The following is a 22,084-nucleotide window of genomic DNA, read 5'->3' on the forward strand; positions in this document are numbered from 1 at the left end:
AGATGCCATTCAAATGGGGACAGGCTGAGTGACCGGGGAGGAGCATTAAGATCTCACCCTGGCTCTGTCACTGAGTGTGCGACGAATCATGTGATCTCTCCTGGACTCAGCCTCCTTGTCTGTAGACTGGGGATACTATCAGACATTTCTCCTTCACTAGACTCTTGTGGGGCTCTGGGGAAGGGCTAATGGTGCTTAGGAGGATGTTATTTCCTCTCATGAAACCAGACCTAGACACCGTCTTCTTTCCGTTGATCTTAGCCCCACCCTTTGCGGCTACCCAGAAGAACTCTGGTTCCTTGCCCTGAGATCTTCAGGAATTTATGATCAACTCTTGAGTCTTCTCAATTTTATATTCTCCAGATCAAACATCTCTGATTCCTTCAACCAGTCTCCATATGCCATGACATTGAGTTTCAACACCTCCTGTAGCAGAGATCTGTCATCAGCACAGTGGGGATAATAATGGTCATTGTGAAGATTAAATGAACAAATGTATGATGCTCTGAGAACAAGGTCTGGCATCCCAATATTCATTCTCCCCTTTTACTTAGTGATGGAGCCATGATATTATTTGGAACATCTTGAGGACATTATTGCCTGGCTTTCCTTGCTGATAGGGGCTGACCCATGAGGTATAATTTACATACAATGAACTGTTTAGATCTTAAGTCTGTCTCATCAGTTTTCATGAAAGTAGATTAAATCAGAACTTTTTCAGGCAATCCTCACCCTCACCCCAAAACAACCACGAATCTAAGTTATATTACTACAGGATACTTTTGCCTATTTTAGAATAAGTGGAATCACATGTTATACGCGTTCTGAGTCTGGCTTCTTCCCTCATCATATTTTTGAGATTCATCCATATTGTTGCCTGTGTCTGTCTCGTGAGGATACCACTGGAAGACAATACTGTAGCTTACTTAGTTATTCTCCTGTTCATAGACATCTAGGTTGTTTCCATTCTTTAACTATTGTGGATACAATTTCTACGACAATTCTCCTACCAGCCTTTTTGTGGACATAGGTTTTTATTTCTCAGGTGAATACCTAGAAATGAAATTTCTGGGTCATAGGGTAGATATATGTTTAGCTTTTCAAGAAATTATGAAAGTGTTTTCAAAAGTGGTTATACCATATTACATTCCAAATTGCACTATATGTGAGTTACGATTTTTCTACATTCTCTCCAACGTCTCGTGTTGTCAGCTTTTATCATCTTAGCCATTCTAGACAGTAAGTAGTGATCTCTCATTGTCACTTGCATCTTCCTGATGACCAATGATGCTAAGTGACTTCTTGTACACTTATTAGCCACTTATATATATCTTCTTCCGTAAAATGTCTGCTCAAGTCTTTTGTCTTTTTAAAAATAAATTCTGCTGCCTGTCTTTATTACTGAGTTGTGGGAGTTTATATATTCTGCATACAAGTCTTTTGTCAGATAATTGTGGTGTTAATATTTTCTTTCATTCTGTAACTTCCCGATTTATTTTCTTGATGGTACTTTTTAATGAGCAGAAGTTTTGGTTTTGATCAAATTCATTTTCTCAACTTTTTCCTTTTATCATTTATGCTGTCTGTGTCTTTTCTAAGGAATCTTTGCTTACCCCAAGGTCACAGAGATATTCTGTTTTCCTTTAAGAACTTTATTTTTTTCACTTTTACCTTTAGGTCTGTAATTCAGCTTGAATTTATTTTTGTGTGTGGTGTGAGATGGGGCCAAGATTCTTTGTTTTCATATGGATTTCCATTTATTCCAGCACCATCTGCCAAAGACATTTTTCTTTCCCATTTAACAGTGTTGGCTTCCTTGTTAAAAATCAAGTGACAATATATGTGTGGACCTATGTCTGAATCCTCCATCCTGTTCCATTGATTTGTCTATGCTTTCACCAAAGCCACACTGTTTTGATGGTTATAGCTTTATAGTAAGTCTTGAAATCTGATAGCATAAGTCTCCTCATTTTGTAATTAATTTTCAAGATTGTTTTGGCTATTATTGGTCTTTTGCCTTTCCAAATAAATTTTAAAATCTTTTGGACTGGGATGAAATTGGTATTTAAATCAATTTATGGAAAATGGATGCTATAATAATATTGTCTTTCAATCATGATTTTAAAATTTAATTGTTAATTTGCTTAATTTGTTTATGTCTTTTAAATTCCTTTCAGCATTGTTTTATAGTTTCAGTGTAGAAGGTTTTCATCTTTTAAGCTTCTCCTTAAGCATTTGATGTTTTTGAATGCTTTTATACATAGTATTTATTTTTAATATAATTTTCTAATTGTTCACTCCTAATGTACAGAAATACAATTGATTTTTATATTTATTTTGTATATCGATTTATTCTAAATGCATTTATTAGCTCTAGTAGGTTTTTTGGGGGTAGATTCTTTAGGATCTCCTATGAACAATCATGTCATTTGAAAACAAAGACAACTTTAATTCTTCCTTTGTAATCTATATGTCTTTTAATTTATTTTGCTTGTCTTATTGCACCAGGTAGGCTTTTTCTCTTTAATGCATCTCAAGACACTCTTGATTTTGGTACAAGTCAGTCTTTGCACAGGTCTCAGGTTTTTCTCCTTCCTAAGAAAGCACAATCCATCAGTTGCAAAAATCCATTTTCCCTAAAAAGTTGGTGTTTTTCCAGATGTAAGGACACACTCAAGGATTTGGCTTTAATTTTTCTTCTTGGCATGGGATGAACTTCAACTTGCATAGAGTTTTTAGTTCTGTTTGTGAAGTATTGCCAGTCCTCTGCATCTTCCGGGCACAGAAGATTTGCAATTCCTGGGTGCCTTTTGGGTAAGTGGGCCTGTATGATTGGTTTTGGCCAAAAAGTAAGCCCTGAAACAATACGTCACCTCTGCACCAAGGAATTGAACTACTGATAATGCAAGAGTTTCCAGAACTCTCTTTTCCTCTAGCACATTTACCTATGATGTTTGAGGTGAAAACTACTTCCTCTGCCTGGGTCTCTGAATGAGCACAACACTCATTCAGCGTCACAAAGAGGGGCAGATAACATGCCTGTCCGGGGAAGCCGAGAACAAGTTGCTTTATTACTAGGGGAGTGAGAAAGGCCACTTATAAGAGGTAGTGCTTGGGCCAGGCCTGGAAGGACAGGAGGGACTCTCACAGGTGGGTGTTCTTCTGCCTGGGTCTACAATGAGCATAACACTCCCCTCAGCTCCTGCTGACCCACAACAGACATTTGGCTTGAGGTGGAAATAAAATGCTGTCTTAAGGCACTGAGATTTTGGGATTATTTGTTACAGCAGCATTACCTAGCCTGATGTAACTTATGTGAATTTCCAAAAGAGAGGTGGCCAAGCAAAGCACTAAGTGGAGGCAATGTAAGATTACATATTGTTTTCTTCTCTGGATGAGACAAAGGGCATACACCCCCAGAGAAATCAGTGGTGAGCTAAGGCCCAGAATCTTATGCAGGTCTTCCCCATTGCCCAGCACATAGTAGATATTCTAAAAAAAAAATGCTTATATTCAGTTAAGCCAGAGTTCTCCTTTCCTCTTGAGGTCTGTGTAAGTAGAAGCACAGTACTTCCCTCATTCTCTCCTACTATCTCCTCCTTGCCTGCAAATGGGAATGACAAAAACAACTTGCCCTCGAGAACTGTTGGGAGAAATTGTGCTGATTACAAAACGCTTTGCAAAATGTAAAATCCTATCTAAGTGGCAATTTTCTCCATTGCTCTGCCAATTGTAATAAATAAATATTGTTTTTTAGAACTGGCTCCTGGCTTGCTTTCCCGCGGTCGTCCCATCAAACACTCCAACACGCCTGGGGTTATTGTCCACTCTGGATTTGCATGTGTGTGCGCGCATGGTGCTTATGTAATGCTATTTACTGAGGAGTTGAGTAAGCCTATCTTGTAGCAGTAAAACTCGAGAACGAGGACGATGTCATACCCCATTGGAGAGGTGATGGGTCAGAACAACTCACTCGGGACAACTGTACTATTTGCTCCCAAGGGCAGGGGGGCTTGTTTCAGTCATTTCTGCAGCCCTAGTATGCCTGGATTTGGGAATATCCTTTGTGGTTATTAAAATTTTTCAATTCTTGACCCAGCTTGGATTGGGGCCCTAGGTTTCTGGCTCATGTTATAGCCATGGGTAGAGTCCAGGAACTCCTATAAACTGCACCTGCTGATGGTTAAATTCATGTTTGCTGACCACTTACTATGACTATATGTGAGGTACAATGAAGGATATAAAGATCACTGACAGTCCCTGACCCCAGCAAGCTGCCATTTAGTACAGGGCTGGGGGAGACTTTCATTTATTCATTCATATACCTATTCAGTCATTGACTCTACCAGCAGTGATTCCACTAATTTTGACTGGTGTTTCAGGTGCCACTCTAGCTACAAAACAAAGTCTCAGGCTTCAGGGAGCATATGTTCTAATAGGAGGATACAGGCATTAATCAAATACTTTTAATAGTAATAAATATTTTACCATAAAATGCAATAAGTACTGTTGAAAAAGAGTTTAGAGTGCAGTGACCACAAGAAATCAAGGGGAAGAGACTTTTTCAGGGGGAGGCAGCTAAGGAAGGCTTCTCTGGGCAAGTAACCTTTGAGTTGAGACCTAAAAGATAAAATTAAGAATCACCCAGTCTGGAGACAGGATGGAGGTAGAGAGAGCAAGTCAGGCAAAATAAACAATACATTTAATGCAAGACAGACTACATGATAAGTCACAAAGAGGGGCAGATAACATGCCTGTCCTAGGAGGCCCAGAACAAGTTGCCTTATTACTAGGGGAGTGAGGAAGGCTGCTTATAAGAGGTAGTGCTTGGGCCAGGCCTAGAAGGACAGGAGGGACTCTCACAGGTGGGTGTTCCAGAGGAAGGAGGAGGAACAGCACAAGCAAAGACCCAGAGGTAGGAAAGAGAGGATGAGGAATTCAGGGCAGACTGTGAAGAGCATAGACTGCTAGGCTAAGGAGTCTGGACTTTTCCCCATTGGTAGTAGGGAGTAATTGGAGGCTTTTGAATAGGAGAGTGATGTGATCAGAACACTTGAATGAAAGAGACTCCTTTGTCCCTCTTGGAAACAGTCTTGTGCATAACCCAAAAACATCTCAGAGCCTCTGGCCCCCCTTGAGCCTAAAGAGGACTTCCAGTGGTCTGGAAATTTCCTCTGCCCACAAGAAGAAACACCAACACCCTGAGAAGACAGTGCAGGAGAGGCAGGAAGGGACACAGGGGCCTGTTACTGGGGCCTTCTTCCCCAGTGATGAAAGAATGTGTGTGTGTGAGCTCTGTACCCAAAGTGTCTCAGAGGAGGGGGCTGTGTATATGCCAACTATTGTGTAAAATAGGCGGACAGAAGGAAAGGCCTTGTACTTGTTTTGGAACATCTTTCAGGTACAAGGGGGGAAAATCCCAAATCAATCTAAAAAATAGAATAAAGAGAATTAATTGGCCCATGACCCTGGGTACCTCCAGGGGATGGCACTGGCTTCAGACATGGCTGAATCTAGGGCCTAAACCAAGTGATCGGGTTTCTCTTTCTCCCTCCATTTCTTGGGTTTGCTTCCATTTGTATATTGACCTCATTATTTCTCATTGCTATTGAGTTTCCTCAGCGCAGGTAAAGAAAAGAGCCCTTGAAAGCTCTAGCCTGGCATTGCAGCAGGAAGAAGGAGTTTCTATGTGTGTAAGTCCCAGGGAAGCACTCTGATTGGTCTTGATGGCTCACATGCCCATCTCTTGGACCAATCACTGTTGTCAGAGGGAAGAGGTACTATGGGTGGCCAGGCTTGTCCTGAGACTGACTGGCAGTTCTAGCCAAATCACAGACAGTGAAGGAGAACAGAGCGCCAGTGGAAGCAAATCTGAGCTAACAAAAATAACCCAAGAGCCTTATGGTCCTTTTCTCAGGCTGTCCACCGTACAAGAAATGATCCATGGGAGAGTGTTTATAAATCACAGTCTTCATCCCAGAAATCTGGGAGCCCAGGTCATTTCAAGAAATAATAATAATAAATATATAAAAATATATTTTAATGAGCTTTTGAAAACAGTCATGGTCATTTATTTCATATGACAAGATTAATTAAAGCTGAGGAATTCTGTTTTCAATGGGGATCCAATTGCTCCCCCATAGGGTTTTGACACCAAGGGGACAGTGGTTCTGCTATGTTGCGGGAAGATCCCTGGTGGGAACTCATGTGACCTGGGCTTTGGCTCTGGGCCTGCCTCTGGCTCACTCTGTGATCTTGGGCAACTCCTTTCCTCTCTCTGGACCTCAGTTGACCTATCTTTACTGTGAGAAGGGTGATGTCTGCTGGTAGGCCTCATGGACTTTGACCCACTCCTACAGTGCTGGCTCTTAGTTAATTCTCTTTGCAGGAGACATTCATTGTCCCCACGAGCCCTGGATGCCCCTACAAGGAACAGGTGAGTTCTGTCCCCACCAGCTTTCTTCTGAGGACTGCTGGAGCATATCATTTGTGCTAAGGTTAGGAATAAACTAAAATTCAGTGTTTCTGGAAGCTCCCGGCCCTGGCCCCACTAACAGGAACCCACAAAAAGGGCGATTACCAGCTATGATTTCTAAGAAGCAGATGCATAGGGTCAGAGACCTGGGCTGGAAGGTCCTGAGTGGTTCCTGAGCCAAGACTCCCATCCTATGCTAGAGGCTCCTCCCCGACTCCAGGAGAGTGCTCCTCCAGTCGCTGTTGTAAACCGCTGCCCATGACACTGGGCTCACTTCCATCCTTGGACTCCTTGACAGTCCAATTTACCTGTGACATTTCCCTACAGGTCCCAGTGCACAGAAGGGGATCCCAGGCAGAGGGGATATTGTGTGCCAAGGCCCCAGTGTTGGGGGTGAAGGAGAGGAGAGAGAGATAGAGAGAGGTCAGAGGGAGCTAAAAGCTCAGTGGCAGGAGCAGGAAAAAAATAGGCAAGATCTCAAAGGCTGAAAAGGAGCCTGAATTCTGTGCCTCTGAAGGGAGTCAGGGGAGAAGCTTTGCCCCTTGGAAGGTCACCCAGGTGTGGTGTGGAGGAGAACCGTAAGCCCGAAGGAGGTGAGAGATGTCTGCGCTGGGGAGTTGATAGGGGATAGACAGGTGGGAAGGCTGAAAGGTGGGCTGTGCCCCCTTTGGTGACACATTAGGTACAGGATATGCTCAAGTTGGAGGGTGGGGCTGCAAGTGCTGCTGGCTGGGATGGGGAGCCCAGGGAGGCTCTGGGAAGGAGCTATGTTCACTTGGGCACCTGGGGACATGGGATGTGCAGGGAGCCTTCTGGTGGTTTCAGGTAGTAGAGGTGGGAGGTTCAGACCAACCTTCCAGATTCATGCCAGGGCCAACACAGGCCTCAGCAATGTCTTACCGGCCCTGGGCCTCTGAAAGAAAGAGTTTACCCCACTCTAGTCGGTGCCACCATTTCTGAGCAGGCATCCTGTTTAAAACAGGAATTTCATGAGCATTTTGGGAGGCTGAGGCAGGCGGGTCGCTTGAGCCCAAGAGTTTGAAGACCAGCCTGGGCAACATGGTGAAACCTCAACTCTACCAAAAACAAAAACAAAAACAAAAAAACATTGGCCAGGTGTGGTGGTGTGTGCCTGTAGTCTCGGGTACTCAGGGGTGGGGAGGCTGAGACTGGAGGATTGCTTGAGCCCAGGAAGTCAAGGCTGCAGTGAGCCAAAATTATGCCCCTGCACTCCAGCCTCGGTGGAGACAGAGCAAAATCCTGTCAAAAAAGAAAGAAAAAGAAAGAAGAAAGAGAAAGAAGGAAAGAAAGAAAGAAGAAAGAAAGAAAGAAAGAAAGAAAGAAAGAAAAGAAAAGAAAAAAGAAAGAAAAGAAGAGAGGGAGGAAGGGAGGGAGGAAGGAAGGAAGGAAGGAAAAACAAAAGAAAGAAAGAAAGAGGGAAGGAAAGAAGGAAGGGAGAAAGAAAGAGAAGGAGAGAGGAGGGAGGGAGGAAGGAACCCAAACAAACAAAAAACAAGGACTTCACTTCCATTGTGGATCTTCCTCTGGGAACGATCTGGATCATGGGGTCCTGGGGGGCAGTAGGACCTGTGGAGTGTGGCCAACTGGGGACCTAGGCAGCCCAGAGTCGTCCCTGACTCTCTGGGGACAGAGAGATACCCTGCCAGTTCCCTTCCTCTGAGGCAGCTCCAGGCCATCTTGGAGGGTGGGGTTTGGAGGCTGGAAAGGGAGGGTGGCTGAGGTGCCAGCTTCCCTTGTGCAGTCTGCCCAGTGGGCAGGGCTGGCCACCAGCACGATCTGTGAGCATCCATTCCTAGTTTACTAAACATTCCTGATGGAACATTTCTCACATGGGCAAGGGGCCACCTGAGAGAATATTAGCACCTACCTCTGCTTGGAAACAGAGACAAGCTCCTTGGGTCTGAATGAAAGGAAATCAGAGTTAAGGCCCTTTAAAGGGCTTAGGAACTGCCAAGAGGGGGGAAAGAACAGATCTGAAGGCTGTAAAAGTGAGTTTACATAAAAAGAAAAAAAGATATAAAATTATCAGGCAAGCAAAACAGTATTTTATTTGTGAATGAGAAAGTGTAATGTGGACCAGGTATGGTGGCTCACGCCTGTAATCCCAGCACTTCGGGAGGCTGAGGCGGGAGGGTTGCTTGAGTCTGGGGAGTTCAAAGTCAGTCTGGGCAACACAAGATCTCCCTGTCTCTACGAAAGGAGAAAAGGAGAGCACGTAGGTCACGGCCTCCCGCTTCCCTTTAGGCTTGGGGCAGGGGAGGGACTGGGGTCCCCACCCTGGTCTAGGAGGCCCAGCCGAGGAGGCCCCCCGGGGAGGGAGGCTGGCCCACAGCTGGCAGGCCTGACGCTCTCTGGCCTTGGCCTTGGGCCGCCTCTTCCGGAAAATGGGACGAGGGGAGGCACCAACAGGAACGGGGTAATGGGGCTGTTGCTGGCAGAGGGAGTAGGGGGGCCGGGCTGGTGACGACATGGAGCAGGGACGAGGGAGCTGCTGGAAGCTGGTAATTAATAAATGAAATGCCCTGGGACTGCCGCCGAGCCGCCTCAGATGACATATCTGTCGCGGGCTCGGCAAACCATTAAATGACCATTTTCTGACAGAACGACTTCCCTGCCGCTGCGAGCTGCCAGGACTTGCCGGGACTCATTTTCTCTTCGCGCCCTCTTTTCTCGTCCATTCCCCCCACCGTGCCTCTGGCCCTTCCTGGACCGCCCCCTCCAGCGGCAACGCCTCTGCCCCCACTCCTGGGCCACCTGTCCTGCGTGCCTCTCTCCAGCTGTCTCTCCTCACTCTGTCTCTGTGTGTGCTTCTGCCTCTCTGTCTCTGTGTGTGTCTTTGACTGTCTCTCCCCGCTCCCTGTGTCTATCTGGGAGTCTCTTCCTTCTGCCTTCCCAGTCTCTCGGTCTCTCTGTCTCCGTCTATCTCTGTGTGTCTCTGTCTCTCTCCTCCCGCTCTCACCCTGGTGTCTCTTCTCTCTTTCCTGGGCCTCTGACCCTCTCTTCTCCCAGGCTGCCCTCTCTCTCCCACCCCCTAGGCCTGGGCTCTCTCTCTTGCTCTCTCTCTCTCTCTGCTCTCCCCTCCCCCCCACCAGCCTTTCTGTGTCTGGCTCAGCCTCCCCCTCCCCGCGTCCCCCCTCCCCGGCTGCCTGACGGCTCCAGTTCATTTCTGCCTGTTTAATTGGGCCCCGGATGAGTTTGGTCGACAGGGCCATTCATCATGTGGCCGCGGCTGGCGGCGGAGCCCGGGGGAGCGGGGCTGACAGCTCCGCCAGGCTGGGATGCGGCCTGCGTCGGGAAGTTCACATATTTGGGCATTAGTGCAGCTATTAGTTTAACAAGCTTCGTTTATCCTTGTCACTACCACTTCAGCTTCCCATGTAATCATTTGAAATGTAGATTACAGCCAGACAAATGGGACAGCGCAGGACGCGCAGGGTGGAGGGAGTGACACGCAGCAGCTCGTTAGGGCCGCCTTCCCAGTCCCATCCCTTCCCAAGCAAGGCTTTGATTAGCTTAATATTCGCATGATTTCAGTGGGAAGCTCCTGTCACCTATGCCGGTGGAGGTGCCTGGGGTGCGTCCAGGTGAGGGTTCAGGTCCTGCCAGGGTGGGGTCTAGTGGATCCAAAGGTCCCCCCCAGCCCTGCAAGGAAACACGGGGGTGGCCAGGGCCTGCCCCGGGAATCCCTTCTGAAGGGGTCTTCCTTCCAGGACGAGGTGGCTCCAGCCCTTGGTTATCTCCTTTCTCCTCTCCCTGATCCCAGTATGCTGCCTCTCTGTGTGACCTGAGCAAGATCTGGCCCTTTCTGGGCCTTGTGTCCGCGTCCGGAAAATGGGGGTTCAGATTCACTCGTGTGGGTTCACTTCCCCCATTCGGCTGGCGAGCTCACCATACCTTAGTTCCTCTGAAGGAGTCACCTGCCTCCTGCCGGATTTCTATTTCCCACGCTGTGGACCAAGGGCTCTTTTACAAATGTAAATCTGGCTGTGTCCAAAGGCCCTCTGGCCCTGAAGGTAAAGACAGAACCCCTTAGTGGGGCTTGGGGTGGGGCAGGGAGGGCTGCAGTCCTCCAGTGCCCCCTTCACAGCTTTCTCTCCCCGACCTCTCCTCTGTGAATGCACTTCAGCTCCCTGGTCCCCGGGCAGGGGGGACAGCTGTCAAATGCCCCCGCCCCCTACTCCTGATCTGGCTCTCCTCTAGGGGTTTGTACCTGCTGTTTCCTCTGCCAGAAACACCACTGTCCCTGCGTCGCTCCCCCAGCTCCTTTTCTCAGACATCTCTTTCCCGTCCTCCGGATTCTCAGTTTGGTTGTTCCTTCCTCTTGGCCCCTCCACCCAGCTCCTCTCCTCCTCTGCTGCTCAAAGCCCTGTGCCTCCCACAGTAGCACCTAACCCCTGACTGTAAACTCCATGAGGACAGCGCCTGCCTAGCATGGAAACGGACCCCTGGAAGCCTCCCAGCCAAGGCTTGTTAAAGGAATAGAGGAAGCGCGTGCCACGTCATGCTGCAGAAGCCTCGGCCACGGGGGCAGCCGTGCATCGACATTTCTCCCGGAGCATTTGCACGACTCCCCAGCTCCTGTTTCCATCCCTGACAGGCACACAGCCCTGGGAGGATCAGGCTCCTCTGAGTCAGGGCCTCTCGGGAGAAAATGGTCGGCCCACTCAAAGAGTTTAAGGGAGGAGAGTTTAACGATGAGACAGCGTACCGTGGTGCAAACTGGCAGGGCCCAGGAAGCCACCGTGGGAGGGTGCAGCCCCAGCGGGGAGCTGCGACCACCCTGAGGCCTGAAGGACAAGGGGATGGAATGTTGTTGCCAGAACCCGGAGGAAGACCGGGAGCCGTGGAAGAGGGGCTGCAAGAGGATGTAACTCCTGAAGGCAGCCACTGTCAGAACTGGGGTGAGGCAAGGAGGGAGTGGGGATAAATTATCCGCCTCTCACTCCCCTCTCTCCAGTCTTCTGCTGCCTCCCATTGGCTGGATCCATCCCACCAGAAGCTAGAGGGCAAGGGGGTCGGGGTGAGGTGGTCCGCAGAGATCAACCTCCTGAGCTGCAGAGCAGGGCTGAAGAGAGCCATGGAGCTGGTGGGGTTGGGGGCAGATGGAAAATACCCAGCACACCAGTCCCCTCAGAGGGAGGCCGTGACCTCTTCAGAAGAGCCACGGAAAACATATCTCAGGACCAAATGGAGATGCGTCTACAGAGGGCTCTGATGGTGTGGACGCAATCACCACTGCCTTTTGTATTCGTCCCCTCACTGTCACATCTCCCTGCCCAACCCAGCGGGGCAAGAGCAGTCCTGCACTCCGAGCTTCTTTTTTCACCTCTCCTCCTGCTGAGGAGTTTGTCTCTGTTTCCTTCCTGACACCTTCTGAATAATGACACCAGACCTTGAAACCAACGAGTCATGAATCAAAGTGGCTTCTTGCTATCATAAAAGAGATGTTCTAAACCCCAAACATAAAGATCGTTTTATCTTTATTAATAGTTTAATGCATCTGAGAAAGCTATTTGACATTTTTTACACCTCCAACTCTTTCCTTCATGCATTGCTGGTCAGATTACACCAGGGTTCAGCCACTTACATCCACTTAATAACTGACTAAATTCTACACTGAATTTACATTGAGCTACAAGCTGATTCTAGGATACAGATGAATTTTCTAGTGGGAAAAGAAAACCCACCCAACACCCTGACTCCAAAGTTGTAAATCTGTTCTAATAATGAAAAAGGAATTAGTCAATCTATTGGGATTGATGTCGTGTTTAACGACACTTGGTGAGGAGGACTCTGCCGCACAGAGTGAAGGGATGGGCCTCGATCAATAATTGGGAGTGAGACATTTTCTTCACCTACATAATTAAAACACCACACGTGGAAACACACATGTGAAAGTAATTGAAAACACATGGAATTTGGGGCATGGAGAACAATTTGACCCTTCCCAACTGCTGGCAGGCCCGGCACACGTGCGTGCATGACATTGTGAAGAGAGAGGCTTGGTCATTGATGACATCTGAATTAGAATAACACCTAATTGGCTGATTTTTCTATTGTAGACACACACACACACACACACACACACACACACACACAAACACCACCACCATCACATCACAAACATGTATCCAATACATAGCACTATACTTAACATGTTCATGTCCACACACTGTAGCCCAGTGCCCCCTACACAAACATGTAACCCCACAGCCTGCACACACACTTTCACGTGTTTTCTCAATAAGAGAGGCACACGCACGGGCCCATATGATGCTCACACATACTTTCAAGCAAGACTTAGTGGGAAAAAGGGAAAAATGTGTTCTCTGCCTCTCCCCAACTTCCCAGAAAGAAAAAAAAAATCATAACTGTCAGAAATGTGATAGGACTGTCAAAGACATATGGAAGAAACCCAAACAAACCATGGAAGTTGTGAAACATAAATCCCAATTCTATTTGTTCTACGACAGTGTATAAACCACACATTTTTCATCAAGATAGAAAATTAAAACCCTCGCCAGGCTCAGCATTGCTGGGGAAGTTGGATAGAAACCCTAGTGTCCTGGCAGAAGGAGAAGCAGCTGCTGGCTGGCCTGGGACTGAAAGATGCTTCTGAACCGTGGACTGGACCACAGAGTTTAGCTGCCTCCCTGTCTCTACATTTTAGTACTGCTGTGATTGTGTCCACACACCCACAACTGTGATTAGCCAAACATCCCATGGGCATATTCCCTATTTTGAAAGTCCCTTGATAAAGCATAGGTTCAGCTTCTGGCGAGCTCCCGAGCAGCCTTAATGTCCACGTGGCTCCTGAACTGTGTCTTCTACTCTCCCAAGCCCATAGCTTGGAGTTCTTTTTCCCCACTGAAGCTCACCTGATTCACTTCAGACCTCCAAGTAGCCTGGCAGCCCCTCCAGAGCCTTACTTAATTCTGATGGGCTTAACTCCTTTCTCACAAGAAATTCTCCCTAATAACTACCAAATATTAATTAAAACCAGTTAATTCCAGTCCCTAGAGAATTAGATAATGCTACTGTTTTCTATTCAGAGAAGAGTCTATTTTCCCCTACTTTTGGCTTTTCTTTCCCTAAGCCAGTGTGTTAATCATGAGGAAATGTCCCAAGACTTCTTGAAAAATTCTGTGTTTTTAGTGGATTTCCTGGGGAATGTCTCCAAAGCCATTTGAAGACTAAACAATAACATCTTTTGGTTTATTCTCATTCAGACATCATTCTTCCTCAAAGCCTCGCGGATCAGGGAGGCAGACTTCTCTTTGCAGAAGCCACACTCCTTCCTCCATAGTTTGGACCTTATGAACCCGCAAGTTACCATTTTTAATAGTTCCCCTTTGGAAAACTTCTGTTGACAGGCAGTCTGCTGTATTTTACTTTCTGCCTAGTCTTTGGGTAGATGCTAGTGTTCACTGAGACCTAGCTCTTTGGCTCAGCAGAATAATGTGCCTGGGGGCTTCAGACGGCCCTTTGAGGGATGAGGGTCACCACAGGGAAGGCCAGCTCCAAGGGGCCCTTGGTGTCTTTGAACTCTCGCCTTTGACTTTCAGGCTTCATAATGAATGCTTGGTCCCTTGACTATGAGTCATTTAGAACCACACACTCATTGAGATTTTGAGATGGAAGGACTGGAAGTCATGTGGTTCAAACTCATATCTCCGGCCCCGTTGCTCAGATGGAAAGACTGAGTCCTGGGTGAGGGCCTTCTGATATAGGTATGAGAGTAAACAAGCAAGGTGATAATAGTTCTCTCTAGGGCTCGAGGCCGGTGGTCTTAGCTGGTCCCTTGTGAGTTTTTGAAGCAGATCTGGGTCCTCTGTTATCTCCACACAAGTCCCTCCTTCTGCCATCTCCCTTTAATTCAACAAATATTTATTCGATAACAATTGGTTGAATAAATGAAGAAATGTGTCTCTACTCTGACCAACTGGGCAATGGAGATAGAACAGAAACTGCTACTCACAATCCAATATCCAGTCTCTCCTTTTCCCGGAATAACAGAATTTGTAGCTGGACAAACAGGGCCGCTCAGAGTAGAGATCCCCTTCCCCAGCCTTCCTTGCTGACAGATGTGGCCTTAGTATGTGCTTCTGGTCCATGACATACATGCAGAAGTGCCAGGTGCCAGCCTCCTGGAACCTTACTCAGAGACAGCAGGTTCTCTTTCCTTTGTCTCCTCTGTCTTGCTGTCTGGAATTCTGATGCTGCCATCTTGGGCCTTGGGGCTGAGGGACACAGCCTCAGGAGGGCCACAGATGACTGAGTCTGGTCCGTGTGGGCCTCCTCGGCCAAGTTGCTGTATCAGCCATGGATCGCTGGCCTCCAGACTCTGAATGTGAGAGAAGACAATCTGTCCTGTTTTAGCCACTGCTGTTCTGGATTTTTCAGTCGTTCATAGCTGATCTAATTCTGACTACTACAGGCAGTAAAATAAATATTTAACATGGATTTGAAAAAAAATACTATTCTTTCTAGCTTTGCCAAGAAAAAGTTGGACTTCCTCAAAATGAAATTTTACAAAGAAACGAGACTCTGAGAATATTTTAAATGAAGAGATATGTGTATATACACACATACCCGCAATATCTCTATGTATATGCATATATAACATATGCATAAATTATCTCTGGAAGAATACACAGCGACTAGAGTCATGGAGAAGAGACCTGGGAGCCTCGGGGTTGGAGTGGAAGTGAGACCCACTGCCTACTTTTTTTGTTCTGTTTGAATTTTGTTTTTTTTGAGACAGAGTCTCTCACTGTCGCCCAGGCTGGAGTGCAGTGGTGTGATCTCGGCTCACTGCAACCTCCACCTCCTGGGTTCAAGCGATTCTCCTGCCTCAGCCTCCTGAGTAGCTGGGATTACAGGTGCCCACCACCACACCTGGCTAATTTTTTTGATTTTTAGTGGAGATGGGGTTCCACTACATTGGCCAGGCTGGTCTTGACGTCCTGACCTTGTGATCTGCCCGCACTGACCTCCCAAAGTGCTGGGATTACAGACGTGAACCACCGCACCCGGCCCCTGTTTGAATTTTTTAACTGGGTGTGTGTGTATGATCTTTTTTTAAAAACACCAAAGTTTAATACCAAAATGAAAACCCACTGTACACATAGAGGCCCCCAGTCCAGTCTCTATCAGATGAGACTTTTTGGTGTTGCCAAGTAAACATCCAGTTCCGGCTTGGGCTTCTTAGCGACAGGGTGCTCACCTCCTCCCCAGACAGCTTGATCTGAACCCATTTCCTCATCTGGGGAACATACAGACGCTCCTTGCAGGACGGTGGCAAAAGCACATCCTACCTGCTCAGGAAAGGTGCTGGTTACCAGTGACACACCACTGTTCCCGTGCGGTGCACTAGAGCCTGTCATTCCCACCAGACCCACAGTGTCTACCTCCTGAGATACTGCTCATAGACTCACAGATCTGCTGTACGGCTATGGATTTGCTCCCCCGCCCCACCACATGGGGCACTCCCTGAGGGCAGGGACCATGCCTGTTCCTCTTTGTCCCTGGGGTCCCTGTGCCTATCCGAGACCCTGGCATGGAACAGATATCCAGGAGTGTTTACTGTCTGAAAGAAGGAGAAGACAGCCAGCAATTCATTCTAAAATGCAGATGTTGACAGCAGTTTCAAGTCATCCCAGTTGATCCATGATTTTTACTGGAATTTTAGTTTTTCCTGGATTCGACTTCCAGCCGCATCAGAGCTGCCTAGGTGAGACGCAGCAGGAGAAGAGCCCTGGAGACTCTGCCTGGAGGTGTCACCAGCCGGTGCCTTTCTTGTGAAGGGTAAGAAAATGCCCTCCCATCTCCACTGAGCCTTCACTACCTGCTGCAGGGCCCAGGTGCTGGGAGTTTGTGGGCTGAATGGGCAGCAGCGACTCTTGGGGACCCTCCACCTGGGGTCACACACAGCCTGGCTTCAAGTCTTGGCCACGGCTTACCAGCTGTGTGACCTGGGGTGAGATAGCTGGGCTTTTCAGCCTGAGTCTCTCCACCCATAAAAGTGAGGATGGTAATAATTGTCAGGACCTCATAGTGTTATTGTAAGGAGTAAGTGAGAGCCTGCATGTGAAGTCCATTTTATAAAGGGGTCTTAATTCTTTGGCGTGTAAATATGACATGAGTTAATTCCCCCCTCCCCCCCCCACCCCCAGCTGTGCTACATGGAACTATCCTCCTTCTCGCATTTCTGGTAGGGTGGTGGCACCTTTATTGACATCTTGGTCAGATTCCAGAACATTCGAATAACTTTCAGTTATTAGAACAGTTTCGTTTTGGTATTTAACATTCTGTCCTGTTCTTTTTGAAATTTCAATCTCAAACATAATCCGACGCCGGAGTTCTCTGCCATCACCCGGGGCCGACCGGCCCCTGCTGTGGCTCTGGCAGCCTGTGGAGAAACTACATTGGTTTTCTGCTGCTCCATAACAAGTTACCAGAAACCCAGTGGCTGAAGATAACATGCGTTGATTATTTCAGCTTCTGTGGGGTAGGAGTTGGGGTGTGACTTATCTGGGTCCTCTCCCTGGGGTCTTACAAGGCTGCATCAAGGTGCCAGCTGGGGCTGTCATCTCACTTAAGGCTAGGGTCCTCTTCCACATTCCCTGGGTGTTGACAGAACTTGGGTCCTTGCGGTTAGACAGCCGAAGCCCTCAGCTCCTAGGGGGCTGCCCACCAATCCCTGCTGGGTGGTCCTCTCCACAGCCTGACCCTCTGCTTCTTCAAGGCCAAAGGGAAGGCATCTGTTTCTCTGACTGCTAGACCTTCTTTTAAAGAGATCACCTGATTAGGTCAGGCCCACTCAGGATCGTTTCCCTTTTGACTGACTTAAACTCAGCTGACTGGGGGCTGTCATGATGTCTGTAGGATGTGTTGTCTTTATTCTCATTTGGTAATCCCATGTGCCTCCCCTCTTTGACCCCTGCAGGCAGGTCCTGGATGGTGGGAGACGTGGCTCTGTTCCTTCTGTTCCTTCTCCCAACCCTCATCAAAGACCATCCACCGCACAGCTTCCAGATGTTCCCGCTCCAGGGAGAGGGTTTTGGGGTGGGGTTCCCACTGGGCAGTGGGAGGGTGGCTCTCATCAATGGTGTCCCACAGCTCACAAGGCACATGCATATCTTTACCCATTCTCCTTTCCCCTGTTTCAGGAAATGTAAGGGCAGGTTACCAAATCTGTTGGCCAAGCAGATGCCCATACAGAAGGTGAAATCTCAGGCTCCCCTTTTTGAAGGTACCTCCAAACTTCCCAGGGAGTCTCTTAAAGCCATTGACCCCTGGCTTTGGGCAGAGGAAACAGCAGCCCTGCCCACTAGCCTCTCTCCTGAATCTGCATCTTCCTCAAGCTGACTGTCTCTTCCTCTCTCAGTCTTTACTTATGTGGTGATGGTGGTGGTGGGGTGAGTAGGGGGTGTTATTGAGTGGTCAAGTTCATTCTCTGAATTGTCACCTCCCCACCCTGCAGGAGGTGACTGGAGCCAACTATTGGAGGATCTGTGAAATTACAGTTTTCAGCTTTGGCCTTGGCTGTGCAATTCTGGGACAATGGGAAAATTTTCACTAAGCATCAGTGCCTGGCAGATAGTTATAGTTAGTGCTCAGTAAATGCTAACTGACATTCTTGCTCACAACTCAACCCAAATAGTCCTATGTTTAGAAGCAAGGCAGAAGATCAGAGTAGACCAAGAGCAGGGCTGAGGACGACAAGCCCTGGGACTCCCTTCAGTTCTTCCAGGCCAGGAATGTGCTTGTTCTCCAAGCCCGGGTTCAGCGTGAGTTCACGCGAGAGCAGGACAAAGGTGAGGAGCAGGGGGCTGAGCTGGGTCAGGCACATGCATGCCATTGTTTTGCATCAACTTATTCTGCCTTCCACTGCCCCAGAGTTGGTAGAAAAGAACTGAGCAAAGCTGGGGTTGAAATTCTGGAATTCATGAGTGTCATGAAAATACTGCTTGGCTAGCTGTCCCACAGACCCATGTCCTCTTCTTCCTCAGCACAGAACTAGACTGCATTTCTCAGCCTCCTTGCAGTTGGGTAGGGCCACAGGACTGGGTTCTGGTCACTAGAATGTGAATGGAAATGATATCTACCACTTCAGCCCTGCCCATGAACACTCTCCAGTGGCTGATCCTCCGTGCTCTCCTTTTTTGCAGGCCTGATGCAGACAAACGAGGTAAACTTGGAAGCCATAAGGTTGAAGACGGCGGAGCTAAAACAAGAAAGGAGGCTGGATCCCTGAGTCACCTTGTGGAAGGCTGCCTGCCTACCAGGAATGCTACATTTAACATGGGGTATGACTTATGTGGGTCCTCTCCTTGGGTCTCACAAGGCTGACATGTGAGTGAGAAACAGATTTTTATTGTGTTAAGACATTGAAGGTATGGGATATGTTTCTTACATCAGTTGATATCGCCTTAACCAATATACCAGTTTGCACTGTGAATGAGAAAATGAGTCTGCATCCACAATGTCCATGCTTTAAGAGCTTCTAGGAGTTTTAGGAGTTTATTTGCCATGCTCTATAAAGTCTGCACAATGTTTTAATTCCACTTCACAGAAAGGTTTTCTTTCCAAACCCTCTTCAGGGGCCTTCCCTATTAAAAAAGCCCATTTATAGAAACTACTACTTAGCATTTTTGGAACTTGTTATCCTATTCAGCAGAGTCTAAGTCAGGAGGCTTTGAACTCGGACAATTACTGCTCTTGATTAACAACAAGAACTGATGAGTTGGCCTTTCTAGTGTGCTAAGCAAACTCAGCCAAGCAGAAAATATCACTGAAGGGGAAACAACGGGAAGTGATTTTCTTGGTTGCATTATGCGCCGTCGCGATATTTACACATGTTTGTGGATAATGTGGGAACCTCTGCTGCTTGCATGCCCTTCCAGATGACACCACTGGGCTTGAAACGCCATGTTTCCCACCTGACCTGGGCTGTAAATGTCATCCTGTGACTGCAGGCAGCCAGCCCCAGGGAAAAACCACAGCACTGGGAGTGGTCAGGCCCCTTGCAGGATCCCCACTCCAACCCTTTCAAGTTCTAGCCCCTCCAGGTACCCTGGGGCCAGCACCTAGGCCTAGAGATTTGTTTGTTTGTTTGTTTTTTAGAGATAGGGTCTTGCTATGTTGCCCTGGCTGATCTGAAACTCTGGGCCTCAAGCAGTCCACTCACCTTAGCCTCCTGAGTAGCTGGGATCACAGGCATGAACCACCCAACCCAGCTGGGGTTAGAGAGTAACAGCAGCCTTGGCCTCATATTGTAAGACAGCTCAGTGGCCGGATAGATGGGTGTTCATTTCTTCTCGCCCTCGCCAGCACTAGGTGTTTTTAAAAAATGATTTTTGTGAAGTCAAATAGTGTTTTCAGTGTCGGATTGAACATTGTGCTCATTTATGAGTGTTCTGTGGATACCTTTACCCATGTCTCTATTGAGGGTGGTAGGATTTTTCATAAAATTGCATGCACATTTTTCATGTATTAAAGGCATTATGCCTTTTCACATTCTTTAGATTTTTCCAACTTCTTTATCTTTGTATTTTGTTAAATGTTTTTGGATACATAAAACTAAAAAAAGAAAATCATAAGATTAAATATTTCAATCTTGTCCTTTGAGACTTTTCCATCTTTTTAAGCTTATAAAGTCATATTTCATATGGAAGTTTGAAATATATTCATCTATAACCCCATTCATTCTATTTAAAACTTTTTAAAGAAACTCTTGGCTCCACTAGGAATTTTTTTGGATGGAAGGTATGAGGTAAGGATCTTCCTGGGGGCCACATTTGGGAGTTCAGATCTGAGGGGCAGAAGCCTCTGGCTTTGGACAAACAGGGGCAGGTGTCACTGGGGTTAGGGGTGGCATAGCACGGGCAGAGGTAGTGTTGATGGGTGAAGAGCAGGTCCCAGCTGGGACTGCTCTCAGGATCTGGGGGTCTCCTTCTTCTCAAATGGTGTCATGGACTAAATTGTGTCACCCCCACATTTATATGTTGAAGTCCTAACCCTCAGTACCTTAGAATGTGACTGTATTTGGAGACTGGGTCTTTGAGAGGTAATGAAGTTAAAATGAGGTCTTTAGGGTGGGCCCTAATCCAGGGTGACTGATGCCTGTGTAAGAAGAGATTAGGACACAGACGCATCCAGAGGGAAGGAGGTGTGAAGACACAGAGAGAAGGCTGAGAAGTAACCAACCCTGCCTGACACCTTCATCTTGGACTTCCAGCCCCAGAATTTCGAGAAAATAAATTGTTTCGGCCACCCAGTGTGTGTTCCTGTGCTCTGTACCCTAACAGACTCACACAGGCAGGTTCTTTGCTAAACGTCCTCAGAGCTGGTCTGTAGTGGAGCTTGCAGAGGCCCCCATCACGATCTGCTGGGAAGACCAAGCAAGGAGAGCAACGTCAACTTTTAAAAATTATCTTCAAATTGTGTGTAATGCACGTGCACTGAAGAAAAATCAGGACATGTAGATAAATAAATCACTAAGATCACCTGGGGTGCTAAAGGCCTCAGTGGTCTAAAATCATAGCAGCTGTGTCTCCTGCAGAGCGTGCTTCCTAGTGATGGCCTCCTCCTGTGGGGCTTTGCAGGCCATGCGTCCCTCCCAGAGACAGCTATTGAGGCAGTGTGCTGAGGAGGCCACAGCAGTGCTCAGTCGGCCAGAAGGGTCCCCTTCCCCACATCACCACACAGCTGGCCAAGAGGCTCCACAGCTATTGGATCTGCGGGGCTGGAAATCCATCTGCTCCCACCCCCATCTGAAACACGCTCCCCTTCGCTGCCTCCTAAGGAAGATGTCAGCCTCTGCTTGCATTTGCCACCTCCTCTCCTCCTTGAGGAACCCCATCTGCTAGGAAATGACATGAGCCTAGGCTAGCCCTCACCTTGATCCAGAACCCAAGCTACCCCTTACCTTTGACCTGGTGGCACCCACAGAGCCTCAGAAGGTAGGCTTGGGGAAAAGGCCACAGTGCCTGGTTAACTCAGAGGTAAATGGTTCAGTATCTCCTCCCAACACACCCATTTTCCCATCTGTGGGGCTTTGTTCACACTGTTACCTGTGCCTGGAATGCCTTCCCTTCCTGCCCTCTCTAAAATTTCCTGTTAAGATTCTGCCCACCCTTCACAGCTCAGCTCAAAAGCCATCTCTTCCAGGAAGCCTTCTCTGGCTACCCCTCCCACAACTGAAAGGAACCCCTCCTGAGACCACACCTCCTTGCCTCCTCCAGCTGTAGGTGATACTGGCCATGTGATGCCTAGAATTAAAATACACACATCACCTGCCCCCAGAGAGCAGGCTCCTGGTTGGTTCATTTCTGCATTCTATCCTCCTCCTGCACCCAGCACAGAGGAGGTTCTGACTAGAATTTGACCTTGAGGTGTAAAATTTTGACTTCCTTACAGTGGAGAAGACATCCTGGGAAAACTCCCATTTGTCATTTGGAAAAACTTTTACACAATGCATAACACTTGTTTCTCATAACACTCTTGAGGTAAGTATTATCAGGTTTATACCCATTACACAGCTGAAGAAATCAAGGCTTCTAGAAGTTAAGAGACTGCTTATAT

The 22,084-nt window shown here is 47.6% G+C and overlaps 1 long non-coding RNA gene and 1 other non-coding gene across 2 annotated transcripts in view, besides 1 other annotated feature; one reads left to right on the top strand and one right to left on the bottom strand.

The window, feature by feature from the left end:
- The window catches only part of LOC105376030 (uncharacterized), a 50,778-nt gene extending 30,001 nt beyond the window's left edge, over positions 1-20,777 (top strand). The window contains exon 3 of the long non-coding RNA XR_001746662.3: positions 18,670-20,777. This is a non-coding gene — a long non-coding RNA (uncharacterized LOC105376030). The remainder of the gene's footprint in view (positions 1-18,669) is intronic.
- Positions 10,814-11,314: an enhancer, noted in NCBI's record as "H3K4me1 hESC enhancer chr9:36820286-36820786 (GRCh37/hg19 assembly coordinates)". NCBI's record gives its function as "activates a minimal SCP1, AML or CMV promoter by ChIP-STARR-seq in naive H9 embryonic stem cells {active_cell/tissue: H9 hESC(naive)}" and the evidence as "EXISTENCE:reporter gene assay evidence [ECO:0000049][PMID:30033119]".
- Positions 14,064-14,124, bottom strand: MIR4475 (microRNA 4475). Its single transcript, NR_039686.1, has one exon. It is a non-coding gene; the product is annotated as a microRNA 4475 (primary transcript).

This window comes from Homo sapiens, chromosome 9 (genome assembly GCF_000001405.40).
Source record: "Homo sapiens chromosome 9, GRCh38.p14 Primary Assembly".
Classification (NCBI taxonomy): domain Eukaryota; kingdom Metazoa; phylum Chordata; class Mammalia; order Primates; family Hominidae; genus Homo; species Homo sapiens.